General features: G+C 53.6%; 1 long non-coding RNA gene across 2 annotated transcripts, besides 6 other annotated features; it reads left to right on the top strand.

The window, feature by feature from the left end:
* Positions 7,954 to 8,129: a silencer, noted in NCBI's record as "fragment chr17:75243196-75243371 (GRCh37/hg19 assembly coordinates)". NCBI's record gives its function as "represses an EF-1alpha promoter that drives an FKBP-Casp9 reporter gene in an ReSE screen in HepG2 liver carcinoma cells {active_cell/tissue: HepG2}" and the evidence as "EXISTENCE:reporter gene assay evidence [ECO:0000049][PMID:32094911]".
* Positions 7,954 to 8,865: a biological region, named in NCBI's record as "H3K27ac-H3K4me1 hESC enhancer GRCh37_chr17:75243257-75244107".
* Positions 8,015 to 8,865: an enhancer, noted in NCBI's record as "H3K27ac-H3K4me1 hESC enhancer chr17:75243257-75244107 (GRCh37/hg19 assembly coordinates)". NCBI's record gives its function as "activates a minimal SCP1, AML or CMV promoter by ChIP-STARR-seq in naive H9 embryonic stem cells {active_cell/tissue: H9 hESC(naive)}" and the evidence as "EXISTENCE:reporter gene assay evidence [ECO:0000049][PMID:30033119]".
* On the top strand, positions 14,654 to 20,185 carry LACAT1 (lung adenocarcinoma-associated transcript 1). 2 transcript variants are annotated; one of them, NR_188629.1, is made up of 4 exons: positions 14,654 to 15,361; positions 15,921 to 15,990; positions 18,464 to 18,606; positions 20,044 to 20,185. It is a non-coding gene; the product is annotated as a lung adenocarcinoma-associated transcript 1 (long non-coding RNA). The 2 variants fall into 2 exon arrangements; NR_188630.1 differs by lacking the exon at positions 15,921 to 15,990 and having other exon boundaries at positions 18,502 to 18,606; positions 19,173 to 20,185.
* Positions 14,966 to 16,165: an enhancer, noted in NCBI's record as "P300/CBP strongly-dependent group 1 enhancer chr17:75250208-75251407 (GRCh37/hg19 assembly coordinates)". NCBI's record gives its function as "activates an origin of replication core promoter dependent on BRD2, BRD4, P300/CBP, MED14 and CDK7 cofactors, with strong dependence on P300/CBP, by STARR-seq in HCT116 cells {active_cell/tissue: HCT116}" and the evidence as "EXISTENCE:reporter gene assay evidence [ECO:0000049][PMID:35650434]".
* Positions 18,413 to 19,070: an enhancer, noted in NCBI's record as "H3K4me1 hESC enhancer chr17:75253655-75254312 (GRCh37/hg19 assembly coordinates)". NCBI's record gives its function as "activates a minimal SCP1, AML or CMV promoter by ChIP-STARR-seq in naive H9 embryonic stem cells {active_cell/tissue: H9 hESC(naive)}" and the evidence as "EXISTENCE:reporter gene assay evidence [ECO:0000049][PMID:30033119]".
* Positions 19,071 to 19,726: an enhancer, noted in NCBI's record as "H3K4me1 hESC enhancer chr17:75254313-75254968 (GRCh37/hg19 assembly coordinates)". NCBI's record gives its function as "activates a minimal SCP1, AML or CMV promoter by ChIP-STARR-seq in naive H9 embryonic stem cells {active_cell/tissue: H9 hESC(naive)}" and the evidence as "EXISTENCE:reporter gene assay evidence [ECO:0000049][PMID:30033119]".
* Positions 20,186 to 21,088: the final 903 nt, after the last annotated feature.

Genomic DNA, 21,088 nt, shown 5'->3' on the forward strand with positions numbered 1-21,088 from the left:
TACTAAAAATAGAAAAAATTAGCCAGGCGCAGTGGTGGGTGCCTGTAGTCCCAGCTACTCGGGAGGCTGAGGCAGGAGAATGTCCTGAACCCGGGAGGCGGAGTTTGCAGTGAGCCGAGATAGCGCCACTGCACTCCAGCCTGGGCGACAGAGCGAGACTCCATCTCAAAAAAAAAAAAACAAAACACTTCAGGCCGGGCATGGTGGCTCATGCCTGTAATCCCAAACCTTTGGGAGGTCAAGGCAGGTGGATCACGAGGTCAGGAGTTCAAGACCAGCCTGGCCAATATGGTGAAACCCCGTCTCTACTAAAAATACAAAAATTAGCTGGACATGGTGGCATGCACCTGTAGTCCCAGCTACTCAAGAAGCGGAGGCAGAAGAATTGCTTGAACCTGGGAGGCTGAGGCTGCAGTGAGCTGAAATAGCACCACTGCACTCCAGCCTGGGCGATACAGCAAGACTCCATCTCAAAAAAAAAAAAAAGAGCACTTCCACTCCACCCCCTGGTGCATACCATGTTGCTCTCATGAGGCAGGCAGACCGCAGTTTGTTCAATAAACACCTTTCCGGTGCGTGAACTCATATTTTAAAATGTGTTCTGGGAAAAGGCTGTTGAAAGAACCCCCAGTAAGAATTCTTCTCCAATGCCAGATTTCTCTTGTGATCGCTTCCTGATTTTCTGTTTAATACGTGAAATTACACATGGTGAGGAATTTTCTTTTTTTTTTTTTTTTTTTTTTTTTTTTTTTTTTTTTTTGAGACGGAGTCTCGCTCTGTTGCCCAGGCCGGACTGCGGACTGCAATGGCGCAATCTCGGCTCACTGCAAGCTCCGCTTCCTGGGTTCACGCCATTCTCCTGCCTCAGCCTCCCGAGTAGCTGGGACTACAGGCGCCCGCCACCGCGCCCGGCTAATTTTTTGTATTTTTAGTAGAGACGGGGTTTCACCTTGTTAGCCAGGATGGTCTCGATCTCCTGACCTCGTGATCCACCCGCCTCGGCCTCCCAAAGTGCTGGGATTACAGGCGTGAGCCACCGCGCCCGGCCTGGTGAGGAATTTTCTGAAAGCACACACGTATTTAAGAGTTCTGGAGAGAAGCAGTGTGTGTGCACTGGGGGATCCGACATACCCTAAGGATTGAGTTTGTCTGTACTAGGACAGGATCCATGAATTCATGCATGCATTCAATTTTAGAATCCTAGAGTTAGTGGCTCTGGCACAAAACAAGGAGATTGGAGAGCACTGGGCAGCAGAGGCTCTACTCCCAGGCCGGGCTCACCAGCCTCCCCGGGGGGCAGGCATGCAACAGAGCCCATGGGAGTTTCGGTTTTTTTTTTTTTTTGAGCTGGAGTCTAGCTCTGTCGCCCAGGCTGGAGTGCAGCGGCATGATCTCAGCTCACTGCAACCTCCGCCTCCTGAATTCAAGTGGTTCTCCTGCCTCAGCCTCCCAATTCCAGCCTCCCTCAGCTGGAATTACAGGTGTGCACCACCATGCCTGGCTAATTTTTGTATTTTTGTAGAGATGGGGTTTCACCGTGTTGCCCAGGCTGGTCTTGAACTCCTGGGCTCAAGCAACCCTCCTGCCTTGGCCTCCCAAAGTGCTGGGATTACCAGTGTGAACCTCTGCACCACGCCTGCATACTGTCATTTTAAAAGTCAGATCATCTCTTCCATGAGGAAGGGAGTAGAACATGGAGCCTCAACTGTGCGCATGATAAGAATCCGTGCTTCCCCCTGGGGAAATATCAGGCCTTATGGGCTTAAGTGCTCAAGCAAGAGGGACTTCAGCTTAGACGAAAGCATGAGCCTCAGTTTTGCATTTTCCTAAGGAGCGTCATCTGCGCCTCTAGGAGTTTTTACTATCTGAGCCTCCGGGTTCTTCTCCAGCCGCTGCTGAGGGCATGAAGCCATCTGGGGGTGGGGGGCGCAGGTGTGGAAGGAAGAAGCATATCCAGTCCCTTGGACGTGGCAGACTCCCAGTGTGTGTGGCGGCGCCCGCAGGAGGCAGTCCCTCTCAGCCGCATCCGCCTTGAGGTTGTTCTCAGTTCTGATGTGGCCCCAAAGAGAACCAGTTCCATTATGGATTAGTAAGAATTTATTTTGAACATGTTGTGGGAAGATGGTGACTGCAGGGGGTGCGGCGGGGGGAGGGAGCCCATTAGAGGCACCAGGTTCCCCTCCAGCGAGCCCCCCTGGACGTTGCTTCTCCCTGACCCAGCACCTTGGTAGACCCCCTTTGTTGGCCTGTCCACCCTGCTCAGCAAACCCAAACCCGAGGGTCAGCCGAGCAGTACCCCCACCCCGGCGTTCCCAAGCGGGCCCGGCGTGGGGTGACTCAGCTTGTTCCACTCCATCTGTTAGAAAAGGCACAGGACTGTCCAAGGCTGAAGCGGGGTGGGATTTTAGGGGCCCCTCCATGCAAACAAACATAAATCAACTTCCGTCCTGCCAAAAGCTCTGCTGATAATTGAGAGGCAAGCTAATGAACACAGCAGTTTAAAATTCACTCTCCAATATCTATTGCAGAATTGCATTGGATAGTTAAAAATCAAAGAGTCTAGCCCCCTAGACCCGGCCTGCTTCCTGGGGAGGCTGCCCCCGAGTTAGGATTTCACATGACACCTCCAGCACTTCTAAAGGGCCAACCCCAGAATCGCTCACTCCCCAGCACGTCTGGGCTGTGCGCGGCACCCCAGGTAAATGCAGCGGCCTCTGCATTAGCCCGCGCTGCTTAGAGACGCTGCCACGACACTTCTGCCCTTGAGTCCGGTTTTGGGGATGGTTGATGTGGGGACACATGAGCGAGTGTGGCTCCTTTTGTGGACTAGACTGCTCTGCACGCTGTGGGGTGCCAGCCTGGGAGGACCCTTTGGCCACCATCACCAGAAAGCCTTCAGCCCAAAGACCTTTCTCAGGCGTTTACAGTTTATCCACACTTTTCCTAACAAGACTCCAACACTTCCAGTCTCTTGGGAACTAATTGGGAGGGCAAGTAAACACCTCTTCAACAGAAATGGCTCAGGGGGGCCTGTTGTACACCCCCCTGTGTCCCAACAAACCTCTGCCAGCCTCAAACAACTGGACAAAATCCTCCTGAGGGCACCAGAAGTGAGCTGGGGTGGCTGGCGCCGCCTGGTAGGGCACAGGGCTGGTCTGCAGGGTCATGTGATTGGAGGAACAGCTTGAACTAGGTTGCCTGGCAGGTGGACAGGCACCTAACCCCGCAGCAGGTGCCATAAGCGATGAAGTGGGTGGAGGTCTTGGGGAGCGGTAGTGCTGTTCCAGGAGCTCACTGGGCTCCATACCGGCAGCTTCCCCACGGTTCCAGAGTCCTCCGGGCTGCTCGGAGCCTGGGCACCTCCCTGTGCCATTTCAGGGCCATTTCCCTGTGTCTCTCCCCCTCGCAGCACTTGCCGTGGGGCGCGTGAACCATGGCTACTGAGTGAACGCAAGAGCGTCGAGGGCTTTTGTCCTCTGACAAGTGCACACTCCCCCAGGCACCCACGTGGAATTTCAAACCCAGTCACTTCTTCCGGAAGACCCATAAATCGCTCCTTATTGTTGTGTGACTGTAAATGTGTTCTAAACATTGTCCTTTCACGCCTGCGTCCTCCCCTGTGTGCACACTTTATTAAACGTTGAAAACAACTCTTTATTATGGAAAATCTCAACCTCCGGAGAGTGCAGACAGCAGCCTTATGAACGCCTCCGGATCCAGCCTCTATATTTAACAATCGCTAACATTTTGCCATATTTGCTTCATCTGGTTTTCTTTTCTAAACTAATCTAAAGTCAGTTACTGTCTCTGTGACATTTCCCCCTAAATCTTTTTTAGACATTTTCTTTTAAAAATGACATTTTCTTTTACTGAACCACAATACCATGATCACAGCTAACAAAATTAACCCTGATTTTCTAATATCATGGCCTGCCCAGTCCATGTTTGTTTGGTTGTCTCCCAAATGGCTTTTCCAGCTGGGTTTGTTCAAAACAGGATCCCAGGCTGGGCGCGGTGGCTTATGCCTGTAATCCCGGCACTTTGGGAGGCTGAAGTGGGCGGATTATCTGAGGTCAGGAGTTCGAGACCAGTCTCACCAATGTAGTGAAATCCCACCTCTACTAAAAGCACAAAAAAAAATTAGCCGGGCCTGGTGGAGCATGCCTGTAATCCCAGCTACTTGGGAGGCTGAGACAGGAGAATCACTTGAACCTGGGAAGAGGAGGTTGAAGTGAGCTGAGATCATGCCACTGCACTCCAGCCTGGGCGACAGAGCAAGACTCTGTCTTAAAAAATAAAAATAAACAAACAAAACCCAGGATCCTGATAAGGTGCATGCGTTGCATTTGGTGGTTTCATCTCTTAGTCACCTTTAACCTGCTGCCTCCTTTGTTTTTTTTTTCTTTTAATTTTTTTTTGAGACGGAGTCTCATTCTGTTGCCCAGGCTGGAGTGCAGTGGCACAACCTCAGCTCACTGCAGCCTCCACCTCCCAGGTTCAAACGATTCTCCTGCCTCAGCCTCCTGAGTGGCTGGGATTACAGGTGCCTGGCACCACGTGCGGCTAATTTTTGTATTTTTAGTAGAGACGAGGTTTTGCCATGTTGGCCAGGCTGGTCTCGAACTCCTGACCTCAGGTGATCTGCCCGCCTCAGCCTCCCAAAGTGCTGAGATTACAGATGTGAGCCACCGCATCCGGCCATCCTGTGTTTTCATGTCTGACTGTGGAAGAGACTGGGTTGGCGGGCTGTGGACTTGCAAGGCATCCATTCAGGGTCAGCCTGGCTGCTTCCTCTGGCTGTGGTATACATACGCTGTTGCTTGTTGTGGCCTATGAAGTTGAAGTTAGAGCTAAACTAGGTCTGATAAGATTCAGGTTGTGCTTTCAGGCCAGAGGGTCTTATAGGTCATCAGAAGCACATTATGGGCCAGATGTGGTGACTCACACCTGTAATCCCAGCACTTTGGAAGCCCGAGGCAGGAGGACCGCTTAAGCCTAGGAGTTCTGAGACCAGCCTGGGCAATACAGTAAGATCCTGTTGCTACAAAAATTTTTTAAAAAGTGGCTAGGTGTGTTGGCATGTGCCTGTAATCCCAGCTACTTGGGAGGCAGAGGTGGGAGAATCTCCTGAGCTCAGGAGGTTGAGGCTGCAGTGAGCTGTGATTGCACCACTGCACTCAGCCTGGGCGACAGAGTGAGACTCTGTCTCCAAAAAAAAATGAAGGCACATCATGACTCTCGGGATTCTGAGGTTGGTCCCTGGTTTTGAGGTGAGAGCTGGTCCTCTCCATTGTTAGAGCTACCTCTTCCCTATTGGAGGCACCAAGTAAACCCGGGAGGACACATTGGCACAGGGTGAGCGCCGAGCTCCCTGCCAGCCTGTCACCAATATCCCCTCACCCCAAAACAATCCATGGCAACACATGGCTGGGCTTCCACAGTCTCTCCCTGCACACTCATCACACCAGGGGCTGAACCCCATGTGGGCTCAGGGCAGTCACCCCACTACATAATAAACGTTCCTCCAGCATTCAAAGCATTTCTTAATGGAAGGAGGTCCCCAGATGCATTTACAGCCTTGGTTCCAAACCTCAGGGCCGCCTGTGTGTAGTATTCTATAAAACTGGTTCCTTAAGAATCCACTTTGAAGGCCGGATGCGGTGGTTCAACCCTGTGATCCCAGCACTTTGGGAGGCTGAGGTGGTCGGATTGCTTGAGGCCAGGAGTTCGAGACCAGCCTGGGCAACACAGTGAGACCTTGTCTCTACAAAAAATAATAATAATCATAACTAAAAATAAATTACTTTTGAAAAATCCCCATAGTGAGGTTAGTATGAAACAAACAAACAAAAAAAAGAATCCACTTTGAAACCCTGTGGCCTACTGGGGTTTTGACATGATTGGAGCAGTGAGGCATGGAGGGTGGGCTGGGCTGGGGGGCTCAGCCAGGAGCGTGGAGCAGAGTGATAAGAATCAGAGCAGGGTGATAGAGGGGACGGGGAGGGGAGGGCAGAGGTGATCAACATTGTAGAAGACAGGAGGGTGGAGAGAAAAAGAGAGGGAGCAGAGGGAGTTGGGGAAAGGAGAGGGGATGTGGTTAGAGCTTTGGGAAGGAAATGTGGAGGGCCCAGCCAGACTCTGAGAGTCCGTGTAGGCGCGGGACAGGTGTCACAGTTCATCTCTGCAAAGGTCGGGTGCATGGTGAGGAGGTGACGTGACTGAGAGACAGCACAGTGCCCGGAAGAGAGAAGGGTTTCAAGTCATTTTGGCAGGACACGGCGGCACGCACAGCCCGCCCAGACCTAGACCCCTCGCTCTCCTCCACAGAGCCCCAGGGAGCAGCTGTGGGCTTCCCTGTGGCCGAGACCAGCCTTTGGCCTGGTGTGTGTGTGTGTGTGCATATGTTTATATGAGTATGTATGTCAGTATGTGTATGAGCATGTGTAAATATATATGTGTATATCTGTGTACACATTGTGTGCACACATGTGTATGTGTATATGTGTGCATGTATGTGTCCACGTGTATGTGCATGTATGTGTACATATGTGTGTATGGATGTGTGCATATGAGCATGTGTCTGTGTCTGTATGCCCATGTGTATGTGCATGTATGTGTACATGTGTGTATGAATGTGTGCATATGAGCATGCGTATGTGTGTGTGCGTGTTTACGTGTATGTGTGCATATGAGCATGTGTATGTCTATGCAAGTGCGTATGTGTCCACGTGTGTATGTGTACATATGTGTATATGTGTGCATGAGCATGTCTGTGCATGTCTATATACATGTATATGAACGTGTGCATATAAGCAGGTGTATGTGTGTGCATGTGTGTTTATATGTGTATGTGTGCATATGAGCATTGTATATGTATGTGTGTGCATGTGTGTTTATATGTGCATATGAATGTGTGCATTGAGCGTGTATGTGCGTGTGTCTGTGCATGTGTTTATGTGTATATGAATGTGTGCATATGAGCGTGTGTGTATGTGTTTATATGTGTATATGTGTGCATATGAGCATTGTATATGTATGTGTGTGCATGTATGTGTGCATGTGTTTATATGTGCATATGAATGTGTGCATTGAGCGTGTGTGTATGTGCGTGTATGTGCATGTGTGTTTATATGTGTATATGAATGTGTGCATATGAGCGTGTGTTTGCATGTATGTCTATGCATGTGTGTTCATATATGTGTGTATGAATGTGTGCATATGAGCATGTGAATGTGTGTCCCTATGCACATGTGTATATGTTTGTATGTGTGTTTGTGGCATGTGGCTCTGGGGACACAGGGCTATAGGTGGTCCCATGACTCTTCTCCATCTCATCCCCGTGACAGCTGCCCCTACCAAGTCCTGTGCTCCCTCTTACCTCTTCCCTGGGATGACAGTGGTCACTTTCCCCATGTTTTGGATGGGGCCTGCTTGTCCCCAACGTCCTTTAGCACGAAGGGGACAGGTGTCCTATTCCTGTGAATGGCCGGTTACCTTCCAGGTGCGTTAGAGTGGCTCCTCTAACCAGCCCTGCAGGGATCTTATTAGATCTTATTAGAGTGGCTCCTCTAACCACCCCTGCAGGGGGGAAGTGAGGAGCCGCAGGGCTGTGGAGGGGTCCAGGTGTCACGGCCAGGACTTGTACCCGAGCCCGACACGGGCGGACCCAGGTGTGCGGGGATCCAGCCCAGGTGTGCCGGTGGCGGCCGCCCCCACGGAACCACCTGGCCCGCTCGGGGACCCAGGTGTGCTGAGAAGGGGGTACTGGCGTTGGCCCGGCGTGAAAGGTCACCCTGCACCCCCGCACCCAGGTGAGGCGGGCGCGGGATCCCGGTTGCCACAGGCATCGGAGCGGCCGGGAGCGGGGGCAGGGGGAGGCAATGAGAACTCCCGGGGAGGGGGCTCGCAGGGGCCGCATCGGACGCCTGGGCCGGCGGGGCAGAGGGAGGCGCCCTGCTCTCCGGTCCCTCCCTTTGCCTCCCTCCCGCCCCGGGCGCCGCCTGCGGGAGCCGACTCGTTCCAGGGGAGGCAGCGCCACCTGCTGGAGTGTGCGCGTCTGCGCACCGGGCCGGGTTCCGCAGGTCCTGGGGCTGCGCCCGAGACCCCCGACCGAGTCTTCGGCGCCTCCAGCGCTTCCCCGGCGTCTTGGGCTGCGAGGGGCCCTTTCCGCAGGGCGATGTTTTAGCAGTTCTGGGAGGAAGGGCCCACTGCCGTTGCCCTCTGAGGACCGAGGCCGAGAGCCTGGAGGGCGTGGAGAAGGGTCTGACCGCCGGCTCTGGTCCTCGGGCTCTTGGCGACAGCGACCTCCCTCCTCCTCCGGGCGATGGTGACGGGCGCTCTCAGAGTGGCGGCCACACTAGGCGCAGGGCCGTCTTCCAAGTGTGTGGTCCTCTCAGACCTATGGAGTTGGTGCTGTTCTGGCTCCCTCTTAAAGAGCGGGAAACTGAGACACAGAGAAGTCCCACCGCCGGGGGTCGGGGTGGGGAGGGCCTGGGATTGGAACCCAGGCATGCTGGCTTGTGTCACCTGTGGTTCTCTCTGCCTGAAGATTTTTTCACCTGCCTAACTCATGAGCTGCTACTTACCCTTTGGGTAGCATTAGATGTCGCCTCCTCCAGGAAGCCCTCCCTCCCCCTCCATGTGAGGGTGGGCGCTCCTGCTATATGTGGGCCTACCGGCCCTCTGCGGGCTGGATCATCACAGTCTGTTCACTTGTCTGCCTCCTACCCCTTGACGTGGGCTCCCAAGGATCATTTGTGTCTGTCTTGTTCACCTGCCCTTTGTAGTGAACCAAACCTTTAAGTGCACATTTTAAAATTGATTTCCAAGGGGGCTGAGAGCTATGGAGGAAGAGCCAGGTCAGAGAGTCATCAGAAGCCCATATTTTACAGGATGTGGCTGGGGGCCCCTCTGGGGTGCCCCTCCAAGGAAGATGCTGAGCTGGACCTGGAGCACCGTGGAGGCAGGACCATGTCTGCCATGCTCAGAGATGGGTGCCAGGGGCGCTGGCTTGTCACTCAAGACTCCCCACTCCATCTGCCCTCCCCCACTCTCCCACTAACCAGGGGGGACCCACCTGCACCTCTGGTCACCACTCATGCTCCCTGGTGCTGGGCACCCCAGGGACAGGAAGAGGGCTGGGTGTTCCTGGCTCCTGCACTGCTTCCCAGGCCTGATCCCCATCTTTCTGCACCTGCCTCCCACCCATCAGCTTCCGCTAGACTGGAAGCCTCCAGAGGGCAGGTGCTGCCCCTCTTTCCCTTGTGCCTGGATTCCGTTGGCATCTAATCACAGACGAGGGACTGTGTCCCCTTCTCCACCTCCGTGGAAACTGTGTCTCACTCTCTATTCCAGGCCGAGCTGTCCATCCTCTGCTGGAAGCCTTGTGCCATCAGCCCTCACCTCCCCCTTCAAGCCTAGACATTCTCTCTCCTGGCGTAAATATGTTAACTCAAGGTTCTTTGCTCTAAAACCAAGGAGTTGTCTCCTCTCCCAGGTCCACCTCCTCTCTCTCGTGAACTCCCTGCCCCTCCACCTCATCCCTCCTCCATGACCTCCCCCTACTCACCATCTGCCCCTTCTGCCAACCCAGCGAGCTGCAGCTCTCCCTGGCATGTCACTCTCTAAACCTTCTGTCCCTTGGTTACGAGTGCAGTTCTCGCCTGGATTTCTTCCCGGCTCTTTGACTTCTCCCCAACCCTTCTTTTTCTGTTTTCCCCTTAAATGTGGACATCCCCACGTCCAGGACCTGGTCTCTGGCCCTTCTCCTCTGATTCATCTCAGTGGCGTTTCTCCCAAATCCCCGATTGCAGCCACAGCCACATGTCAATTAGGTCACCTCCATGTCCCGGCTAAGACGTGCCTCCTGGCCCCTGATGCGCCATCTCCCAGATGGAAATGCCATCATTGTATTTTTGCTCTGTCCCCACCAAAGGCAACACAAAGCATCTCCATCTGTTCCTTCATGTTCCCTACTCAGTGAATGACCGCTTATTTACCCACTGGCCCAGGCTCAGCTTGGATGTCCCCGGGCCGTCGTTTCCAGATCTCATCTTCAAATCCTGGCGATCTTCGCCCAGGAGCTGTGGACTCCTCTTCTCTGCCTGCCGCCCCTGCCCTGTCCAGCGTCCACCTCTCCCAAATGGCCCACTGGGTCCCTCCCTCCTGGCCCCCCTGCATCTAGGAGCAGCCCTCCTCCAACAGTTGGAAGGGTCTTCCCAAAACACAGATGAGACCTTGTCATCTTGAAACTCTTCATTGGCTCTGAATTGTCTTAGGATCAAGCCCAAACTCCTTCAGAGTCTGGGAAGGGGCCCCTCGTTCTGGGTCTGGCTCTGTCTCCCAGGGTCTCCCCCGCCTTGCCTGCTCTGTCTGGCCACACTGACAGTGCCCTGATGGGCCATGTCCTCTTCCCCTCAGCGCCTTTGCGTGTCCCAGCTTTCTGAGCCCAGACAGCCCTCTCCCCATTTTGGGGGGCCCACCTCACCTATCAGGGTGCAGCTTCTCCTCTGAGAAGACTTCTTTGCTCCCCAAGCCTGGATTTGATGCCATCTGCCTGTATTGACCTGGCTAAGCCAACACCCTAGCCCTAGGCTACCCTCAACCAACACCCCTGACCACACTGTGTGTGAATTACACCCCTGACCACACTGTGTGTGAATTACACCCCTGACCACACTGTGTGTGAATTACACCCCTGACCACACTGTGTATGAATTACACCCCTGACCACACTGTGTGTGAATTACACCCCTGACCACACTGTGTGTGAATTCCTCCTTTCCTTGTTTCTGTGCCCATTCAAGCTGTAAGCCCCTTTGGAAGAGACTGGGCCTTCACAATTATCATCTCAGCACCAAGCACAGAACCCACCTCAATAAATGGTTAATTTGAGACTTCTGTCTCTCTCTTTTTTTTTTTTTTTGAGACAGAGTTTCGCTCTTATCCCGCAGGCTGGAGTGCAATGGTACGGATCTCGGCTCACTGCAACCTCTGCCTCCCAGGTTCAAGCGATTCTTCTGCCTCAGCCCCCCAAGTAGCTGGGATTACAGGCATGCACCACCACGCCTGCCTAATTTTTTTTTTCTTTTTTGAGATGGACCTGACTCTGTCACCCAGGCTGGAGTGCAGCGGCGCAATCCTGGCTCACTGCAACCTCCACCTCCCGGGTTCAAGTGATTCTCCTGCCTCAGCCTCCCAAGTAGCTGGGATTACAGGCGCCCGCCACCACACCCAGCTAATTTTTGTATTTTTAGTAGAGATGGGGTTTCACCATGTTGGTCAGGCTGGTCTCAAACTCCTGACCTCACGTGATCCACCCGCCTCAGCCTTCCAAAGTGCTGGAATTACAGGCGTGAGCCACCACGCCCAGACGAGACTGCTCTCTTTTAATTTATATTTATTTATTTATTATTTTTAGAGTCAGGGCCTCACCACATTGCTCCGGCTGGAGTATGGTGGCTACTTACAGGTGCCAGCACAGCATACGGCAACCTCAAATGACTGGTCTCAAGCGATCCTACTGCCTCAGCCTCTCAAGTAGCTGAAACTAGAGATATCTTTATTCTTAATGTAAGTATTTAGTGCTATAAGTATCCCTCTCGGCTGGGCACAGTGGTTCACACAGGTAATCCCAGTACTTTAGGAGGCTGAAGCGGGAAGATCACTTGAGGCCAGGAGTTCAAGACTGAGCAACCTCAAAACCCTGTTTCTAGCAAAAAAAGAAAAAAAGCAAGCTAGGTGTGGGGGGCATGTTCCTGTAGTCCCAGTTCATCAGGAGGCTGAGGTGGGAGGATTGCTTGAGCCTGAGGAGTCGAGGCTGCAGTGGGCTGTGATCACACCACTACACTCCAGCCTGGGCAACAGAGCAAGACTCTGTCTCAAAAAAATAATAAAAAATAAAAATAAGAAAATTTCTTTCTCAGCATTGCCTCAGATGCATCCCACATATTTTGGTATGCTGTCCTTTAATTCTCATTCAGTTTTATAGATTTCTTAATTTTCTTTGAGACTTCCTCATTGACGTGGATATTTAGAGGTGTACTGTTCAATTTCCAAGTGTTTAGAGATTTTCCTGTAGTCTTTCTGTTACTGATTTTTTTTTTTTTTTTTTGAAACAGAGTCTCACTCTGTCACCCAGGCTGAAGTGCAGTGGCACCATCACAGCTCAACCCCACCCCCCATCAGCAGTCTTGGCCCCACAATCCCTAGGCTCAAGCAATTCTCGTGCTTCAGCCTCCCAAGTAGTTGGGACTACAGGCATGTGCCACCACACCCGGCTATTTTTTGTAACTTTAGTAGAGTCGGGGTTTCACCATGTTGGCCAGGCTGGTCTCAAACTCCTGACCTCAAGTCATCCACATCACTTCTGGCCTCCGTAGTTTCAGATGAGATAATTTGAACTGGTGTCCCTATAGGTAATGTGTTGTTTCTCTGGCTGTTCTGAGGAGATTTTTTGTCTTTAGTTTTCAGAAGTTTAATGATGATATCTCAGTGTAGATTTCTTTGGCTTCTTCTGTTTGAAGTTCAGTTTCCTGAATCTGTAAGCTTATGTCTTTTACCAGATTTGGAAAGTTTTCAGCCATTATTTCTTCAAATACTCCTTCAGCCTCACTCTCTTCTCCTCCTTAGCCCCTATGATGTGAGTGTCAGATTTGTTTGTTATGGTCCCATTGGATGTGGACGTTCTGTTTATTTCTTATCCGTCTATTTTCTCCCTGTGGTTCAGACTGGGTACTTTGGATTGATCTGTCCCCAGATTCACTGATTCTGTCGTCTGTCATTTCCACTCTACAACTGAGCCCATCAGGGAGTTTTTAAAATTTCTGCAATGACATTTTTCAGTTCTGTAATTTCCATTTGGTTCTTTCTAAATACCCACTATTTCTTTGCTGAGAATTTCTATATTTTCATTTGTTTCAAGAGAATTTGCAATTGCTTGTTGAATTTTTTATTTTTATGTGTTTTTTTTGATGGTTGCTTTAAAATCCTGGTCACATGGCTGGGCGCAGTGGCTCATGCCTGTAATTCCAGCACTTTGGGAGGCCGAGGAGGGTGGATCACTTGAGGTCAGCAGTTCGAGGCCAGCCTGGCTAACATAGTGAAAGCCTGTCTTTATTAAAAATACAAAAATTAGCCGGGTATGATGGCACATGCCTGTAATCCCAGCTACTCAGGAGGCTGAGGCAGGAGAATCGCTTGAACTCAGGAAGCAGAGGTTGCAGTGAGCTGAGATCGCACCACTGCACTCCAGCCTGTGTGACAGAGTAAGACTGTCTCCAAAAAAAAAAAAAAAAGAGTAAAATCCTGGGCACGTAACTCCAACGTCTGATTCATCTCAGGGTTCAGTTGACGGTCTTCCCACTCACATTGTGATTTTCGTAGTTCTTGGTGGGATGAGTGAATTTCACCATATCCTGGACATTGTGGCTATTAGGTGAGGAGACTTCAGGTCCTGTTTGCATTTTTTACTTTGGTAGCAGCGGCCCTGCTTAGGTTTAGCACCCAGGTCTTGGGCTACTTTTGGGGGCTGTGGTTCCAATGAAAATCTGATTTGCAGAGCCTCTGCCGTGCTATAGAGGTCAGCTCGGCTTGTGTGGTGCTGCTTAAGGAGGCAGAAGGAGCTTTCCCAGGCTGGACATTCATTGCCTCCAGGTGGGAGAAGGGAGTCTCCCGCTCACAGGGACAGACAGGCCTTCTGCTTGTGGTGGGCTTTCTCCCTGCCATCAACGTCTCCCCCTCTCTCTGCTGTGCCATGATTTTGGGTGGGGGAGTGGAATTTCAGGTCCAGTGAGGAGGAAAGGGTTAACCCTGGCCAATAATTAGCAGGAGGGTGCTGGGCCAACCCCTTTGGTGGTTCTGCCTGGCTTGCTTGGTGGGTTTTTTGTTGTTCATTTTTTTTTTTTTTTTTTTGAGTTTGTCGCCCAGCCTGGAGTGCAATGGCGCAACCTTGGCTCATTGCAACCTCTGCCTCCCAGGTTCAAGCGATTCTCCTGCCTCAGCCTCCTGAGTAGCTGGGACCACAGGCACCCACCACCACGCCCGGCTAATTTTTGTATTTTTAGTAGAGGCGGGGTTTCACCATGTTGGCCAGGCTGGTCTCAAACTCCTGACTTCGGGTGATCCACCCGCCTCAGCCTCCCAAAGTGCTGGGATCACAGGTGTGAGCCACTGTGCCCAGCTTTTTTTTTTTTTTTTTTTACAGGTCTTACTCTGTTGCCCACGCTGGAGTACAGTGGTGCGATCATAACTCACTGCAGCCTTGATCTCCTGGGCTCAAGTGATCCTCCCACCTCAGCCTCCTGAGTAGCTGGGACTGTACGCAGCTGCCACTATGCCCGGCTAATTTTTAAGTTTTCTTTGTAGAGACAGGGTCTGCTGGGTTACCCAGGCTGGTATCAAATCCCTGGTCTCAAGAGATCCTCCTGTCTTGAAGCGCTGGGATTACAGCTGTGAGCAATCGGGCCCAGCCTTGCCTAGTGTGTTGGGGCGACTTGCCTTTAATCTAGGAGAGAAAGGAGCCTACTTGGCTGCCTTCTGTTGCTAGGTCGGGAGTTGGGAAATGCACGCCTGGGCGGGTCCTGTATTGGGTGGGGGTGAGGGGTGTCATAATGCCCTGTTGATAAATATTCCTGACCCAGCCTTGGGGTCCTTTACCAGCTCTCCTGCTCCTTCCACCTCAGGGCCCTCTTAGGGTTGCCTCTTACATTCTTTCCAGGGCTTAGCAGACAGGAACAGGGAGGGTCGGGTTTAGGCCATCTTACCCAGACCGGAAGTCTCTAAGTGTTTGATTGAGTGTTTGTTTGAAGAAAGTGATGAACCCAGGACCTCGAGCCAGGAAGATTTTTCCCGGTGAAAAGCAGAGGGATTGACTCACGCTCGGTTCTGAGTTCCAGGCCTGACTCCAGGGCTCACCAGCTTCTTCCACAACCCGCACAACTTGAACGCTTGGTAGCATCTCCACGCAGCAGTGGGCACCCTGGCTTCTGGAGGAGCCCAGGCTGCATTTACCCCTCCATGGTGCATCTCATAGGATCAACTGGACCCGCGAAAGGCACTGGCTGCGGAAAAGCAGCCAACTGCTCCCCAGCGAAGGGGATGGCCGGAAGCGAGGAGAGGGAGAAGCCCCAGCAGAGACCCCAGGAGGAAAAGACCCCACAACGGGGCCACTGGGAACCCATGATGTTGGTTACCAATGTGATTGGAGGTTCGGAACGACGGACGTGTGGCCCTGAAGTGGGAAACAGAAAAGCTGAAGGGCGAGACCTGGGAGGGAGCCCCCCACCCCCGCGGACTCCAGAGACCCAACCTTCCTTCCCTGCGCTCCGGCCGGACGTTCTCCCTGCCCCTGTGGCCGAGCCTGGTAAGTTCGCAGCAAACAGGAGTTTGGGGCTTTACAAGCCTCCAGAGGGGTCCATGGGCATTTGGGTAGATTGTTATACTGCCCCTGGCAGGAGGGCAAGGCCCTTCATGGGAGCCATAAGCTGGAGACCTAACAGAGCTCGCAGCTCGGCCACAGGGCTCTGTTCCAGGGGCATTGGCCACTGGCTTCCAGTACCTGTTCAGCCTCCCAGCTCCTTGTTGCCTGGAATCTCCACCACTGATCAGCGTGTAAACACCTATGTGGGGGACACGGGGGCAGGGGGGTCCAGGAAGGCAACTTTTGGGGGATAGGGTGGGAAGAAAGAGGGACCTCAGAGGCCAGTTCTTCCCCATCCTACTCTATTTCCTCCTGTAACCATGGGAAATGTCTTTCTGTGCCCGATCCTGTATGGGGTGCGGATGGGGCACACAGATGAATCAGACCCGGCCCCCTCTTTGTGCCAATTCATAAGCACTTCATCCACGGCTCAGCCCTGTGAAAGAGCTCCTCGGGCCCAGGAATGCAATACAGTGAGAACACTTTCCGGTCTTGCCTCCAGGTGACGATTCAGCACACAGGAAGGTGGCCCTGCCCAGGGCCAAGCTCTCTCTCAGTTGGCACCTGGCCAGGTGAGGGGGCTGCTCCCTGTCACAGAATAGGAAGCTGAGGCCCGTGGGGCCTCATAGGCACACAGCATGGGGCGGCAGACTGGGCCTCCTGACCGTCAGCGCTGTGAGGCCGATCTTCTTGCCCACTGCGGAGGCTCAGCCCCTCCCCTGCCCTCCAGGCCTGTCCTGCAACCACTCCACCTCTGCTGCTGGGGCCTGTGTGTGTCCCCCAGCTCCTCCTGCTGGGGCCTGTCTGTGGCTCCTGGAAGGTGTGACCCGGGTCACCTGTGGGCAGAGGCCTCACTCACACCCCCGGCCTCTCATGTTGCCATCCAGCTCTGTCCTGCTCTCCCTCCCCCAGTGGGGGTTTAAGCTCCTCGTGGGCTGCCTCCCCGACCCCGGCGCCCTCTGTCTCCACGGAAGCCTGTCATTTCCGAGGCCTGAGTCACCACTGGCTGGTTGCAGCCGGGTCAGCGTGCCACCCGGCACGAGGCACAGACATGAGCTACTGGGTCCTGCACCCTGTGGTTAGGAGCTCAGAGGCCTCTTTCTAGGGGACGTTGCCAGTGAATAAGTCTTTCAGGGCAGAGGCAGGGTGGAGAAGAACCACTCCTCTATTCCCTTACCCTCCCACACCAGGAATCGCTGGGCTCCCTGTGACCAGGGACTTTCCCAGATGCCTGGGATTTTGGATGAAGCTGGAAAGCAGAGAATGCCCATGTGCCTACTCAGTGCAGACAGGGTGCCCGACGTGCCTACTCAGTGCAGACACGGTGCCCGACGTGCCTACTCAGTGCAGACACGGTGCCCGACGTGCCTACTCAGTGCAGACAGGGTGCCCGACGTGCCTGCTCAGTGCAGACAGGGTGCCCGACGTGCCTGCTCAGTGCAGACAGGGTGCCCGACGTGCCTGCTCAGTGCAGACAGGGTGCCCGACGTGCCTGCTCAGTGCAGACAGGGTGCCCGACGTGTCTGCTCAGTGCAGACAGGGTGCCTGACGTGTCAATGTTGGACATCTCAAAAGGTGGCATACGGTCCCAGCAGAGAGCTGCAGTGGGGTTACGGGCACAGACCGGGAAGCATGCTGCTGCCAGGAACTGAATTTGGGCTCCCCTGCAGAGAAGCTGTGAGACCTCAAGCAGGGGACTTAAGCTCTCTGTGCTTCTGTTTCCTCATCTGTGAAATGGGTGCTAGAGGAACTGTGATGAGGTGTCAGTGAATCTGCAGCATAAAGCCCAGAGCCAAAGCCACTTGCAAACGAGGGCTCATATCAGAGGGGCTTGCTGGAGGCAAGTTTTGAGGAATAGAGATGGGACTGTGAAGGGACTCAAGCCAGGATAGGGGGCCCCCCGAGCACCCCTGGCAAAGGAGCCTCTGCTGGTGGTTTTCTGAACTCGAGTCCTGGCCCCAGGCAGAAGTGGGGAGCTTTCTTGGGAGGGCTTGGCCACCTCGGCTGGGGCTGGGTGCAGAGAGGCAGCAGCCCTGCCCCTGGAGCCTTCTGAAGGGTGGCTGGAGCTGCCTGGGCAGGTCACCCTCCACATTTCCAGCGTTTCCCAGGGAAGGGTGCTCGAAGTTGCCATGCAACACCAGGAGGGTAGGTTCAGGTGGGAGGCTCATGAAGGGCTCGCTGCCTGGATGGCACTGAACCACAAGGACCAGCAGCTGGGGTGGGTGGGGCTGCCTGGGGGAGGGGTGCCCTGGAGGATGTCCTTTGCAGGGGATGGGAGAGAGGAGGCATGTATGAGGGTGGAGGGGAGCAAGGAGGTAGAAGGGCTGATCCCTACTACTGCCCCCTGCAGCTTGCCATCAGATGTGAGACGGAAGTTTTGACTTAGACTGGTTTGGTTATTTTAATATGGGACAGCAAGCCTGGATTGGCCAAGATGAGATGGTTCATTTGCTGAAGCTAGATGAACAGCTTTGGGAACTGCCTAAGTTGTTAACCAAAGTGATGAAGGAGGCCCATAGGGTATGAGGGAAGGCCAGAATGGAATCCATCCCCATCACCTCCTCCATCCCCATCACCTCCCCACTTCCTTCATCCCCATCACCTCCTCCATCCCCATTACTTCCTCCATCCTCACCTCCTTCATCCCCATCACTTCCTCCATCCTCATCACCTCCCCATCTCCTTCATCCCCATCACCTCCTCCATTCCCATCATCTCCTCCATTTTATCACCTCCCCCATCCCCATCACCTCCTCCATCCTCATCACCTCCTCCATTCCCATCATCGCCTTCATTCTATCACCTCCTCCATTCCCATCACCTCCCCACCTCCTTCATCTCCATCACCTCCTCCCCATCTCCATCACCTCCTGTCACCTCCTCCATCCCATCATCTCCCCACCTCCTCCATCCCCATCACCTCCATCCTCATCATCTCCTCCATTCCCATCACCTCCTCCATTCTATCACCTCCTCCACCTCCACATCCTGAGCCACTTCCCCTCAGCTTCATTTCCTGAAACAGCCCCTCCTCACCCTCTCCAGCTTCCTTTCCTTCACCTTACCATGCTCCTTTCTGGAAGGCACCACTCCAAACCGTCTCCTTGGAAAAGCAACTTCAGCCCCAGTGCCTGTCCCTGCTACACCCAACGTTCCTGTCTGGAAAAGAGTTGCTCTTTATTCAGCACGTGAGTTCCTGACCCCCAGATAAGGGCCAGTGCAGCCGGGGAGGGAAGCATTAGTGCTGCCGGGTGGAAGGTGGACGGCGCCTGGATCCAGACCCAGCAGTGCTCATGGGGCCAGGCCTGGTGCTCGTTCTTTCTCAGTCCTTAACGCCACCTTGCAAGGTGGGGATTGTCCTCCCATCTGGCCATGAAGAGCTGAAGCAGAGAGGTGCAGTCGCTCATCTGCGCTCACTGGTCAGTGGGTCGCTGCGTCCCCAGAGGCCCCTGGGCAGGGTGGGCGCTGCGTCCCCAGAGGCCCCTGGGCAGGGTGGACGCCTCTGCAGGTGCCCGCACAGGGGCTTTCTCCTTCACTTGGCCACACTCAGCCTTTGATCTGAAACAATGAAAGCCCCTGAGTCACTGGTCCTTCCCGAGCCCGTGTGTGGCCCACAGCAAGGAGCTGCCTGTCCCAAGTTCGGGGGGTTTCTTTGGCTTACGCGGATACTGTATGTGAGTGTTGGCAGAGCAGCGTGAGCCTCGGCCTGCAAACTCAGGACGGCACCAAGCCCCATCGCCTTGGTATCTTCCAGGTGGACCCTCAGCCTGCTGAGTGGACAGGAAACCATCTGTCATTTAGGGTTCCTGCTCCCAACTCCCCCCAACAGCTGTCACCACCACCGTGGTTGTGCAAAGGTCCCAGGCCTTTCAGAGTGGGCCCTGATCACTGTCCATCCTGGCCGGGTCTGCTGAAACAAACATGGTCACAATCTCGTGGTACTTTCTGCCTCGTGGCTCTGTGTCCACACTGGAGAGACTAGGACCCAATCCTGGGGCCCCTCCCACAGGCGCCATATGGCTATTCCCCTCAGAGACGCACCAGGCCAGCCCCACTGCCCTCAGGACCAACCTCCAACTTCTCCTCGGCTTGGGATCTCCGGTTTCTCTCTTTGTCAAGGCACCCTGATATGGTTCGGCTCTGTTCCCACCCAAATCTCATCTCGATTTGTATCCCCACGTGTCAAGGGAGGGACCTGTAATCCCCATGTGTCGAGGGAGGGAGGTGATTGGATTATGGGGGCGGTTCCCCCATGCTGTTCTCAGGACGGTGAGTGAGTGAGTTCTCACGACATCTGGTGGTTTTATAAGTGTTTGGCAAGTTCCTTCGCTCACTCTTCTCTCTCCTGCCACCTTGTGAAGGAGGTATTTGCTTCCCCTTCACCTTCCGCCATGACTGTAAGTTTCCTGAGGCCTTCCCAGCCATGCAAAACTGTGAGTCAATTAAACCTCTTTCCCGGCCGGGCGTGATGGCTCATGCCTGTAATCCCAGCACTTTGGGAGGCCGAGGCAGGTGGATCACTTGAGGTCAGGAGTTCGAGACCAGCCTGGCCAACATAGAAACCCCATCTCTACTAAAAATACAAAAAATTAGCTGAGTGTGGTGGCGGGCGCCTGTAATTCCAGCTACTCAGGAGGCTGAGGCAGGAGAATCACTGGAACCCAGAAGACGGAGGTTGCGGTGAGCCAAGATCATGCCATTGCACTCCAGCCTGGGCAACAAGAGGGAAACTCCATCTCAAAATAAATAAATAAATAAAAATAAAAACAAAAGACCCCTTTCCATTATAAATTACCCAGTCTCAGGGAATTTCTTTATAGCAGCATGAGAATGGACTAAGATACACCCCTCCTTCATCCGCCATGTGCAGCCGGCGAGCACAGCTCTTCTGAAGAGACAGGAGGTACCCACGTCTCACATCAGCTTCTGCCCTGTGCCCTGCACAAAATCCCTGACATCTTAGAATACGGCCTGGGAAAATATGGAGGGTATGAATAAATCAGAATCTTGAGAATCATCCCCGTGCAGGGGCCTTCTGCAGCCAGGTGGCCCCTGGGGGCTATGGGTGTCCCCTGGAGGGAGCAAGGGAATGGTCTGCCTTGGGGACAGTAAGGCAGTGCAGTTATGGGACTGCCAAGGTTGGTCTCTTCTAGGGCTCTTCGGCCTCTGGTGGGTTCCCGTGTTTGTAGGGGCTGCTCAGAGGGACCATAGCTGGGGTAGAGCGAGATGCCCCAGGAACAATGATCTCCAGCTGTCGCAGCTGTTAAATGGACATTTATGAAAACAAACCATCAGCGCCATCAGGAGCCAGGATTGTCCCTTCTTTCTATTCTGCAGGAGCGTGCATCACCTGTGAGCTTTGGATCACCGAGACTGTGGGTCCTGACCCATTATTCATGCATTTGTAGAATTTCCTGGGGGCCACAGAAACTGGCCTGAGGACCATACTTGCCAATCCTCAGTGCCCAGAGAACGAGGTGAACAAGTAATCCTGCTCCTTTTATCTTTTTGAGACGGAATCTCGCTCTATCACCCAGGCTGGAGTGTGGTAGCATGGTCTCACCACAACCTCCGCCTCCCAGGTTCAAGTGATTCTCCTGCCTCAGCCTCCCGAGTAGCTGGTACTACAGGCTCCCGCCACCACACCCAGCAAATTTTTGAATTTTTAGT

Source organism: Homo sapiens, chromosome 17 (genome assembly GCF_000001405.40).
Source record: "Homo sapiens chromosome 17, GRCh38.p14 Primary Assembly".
NCBI lineage: Eukaryota > Metazoa > Chordata > Mammalia > Primates > Hominidae > Homo > Homo sapiens.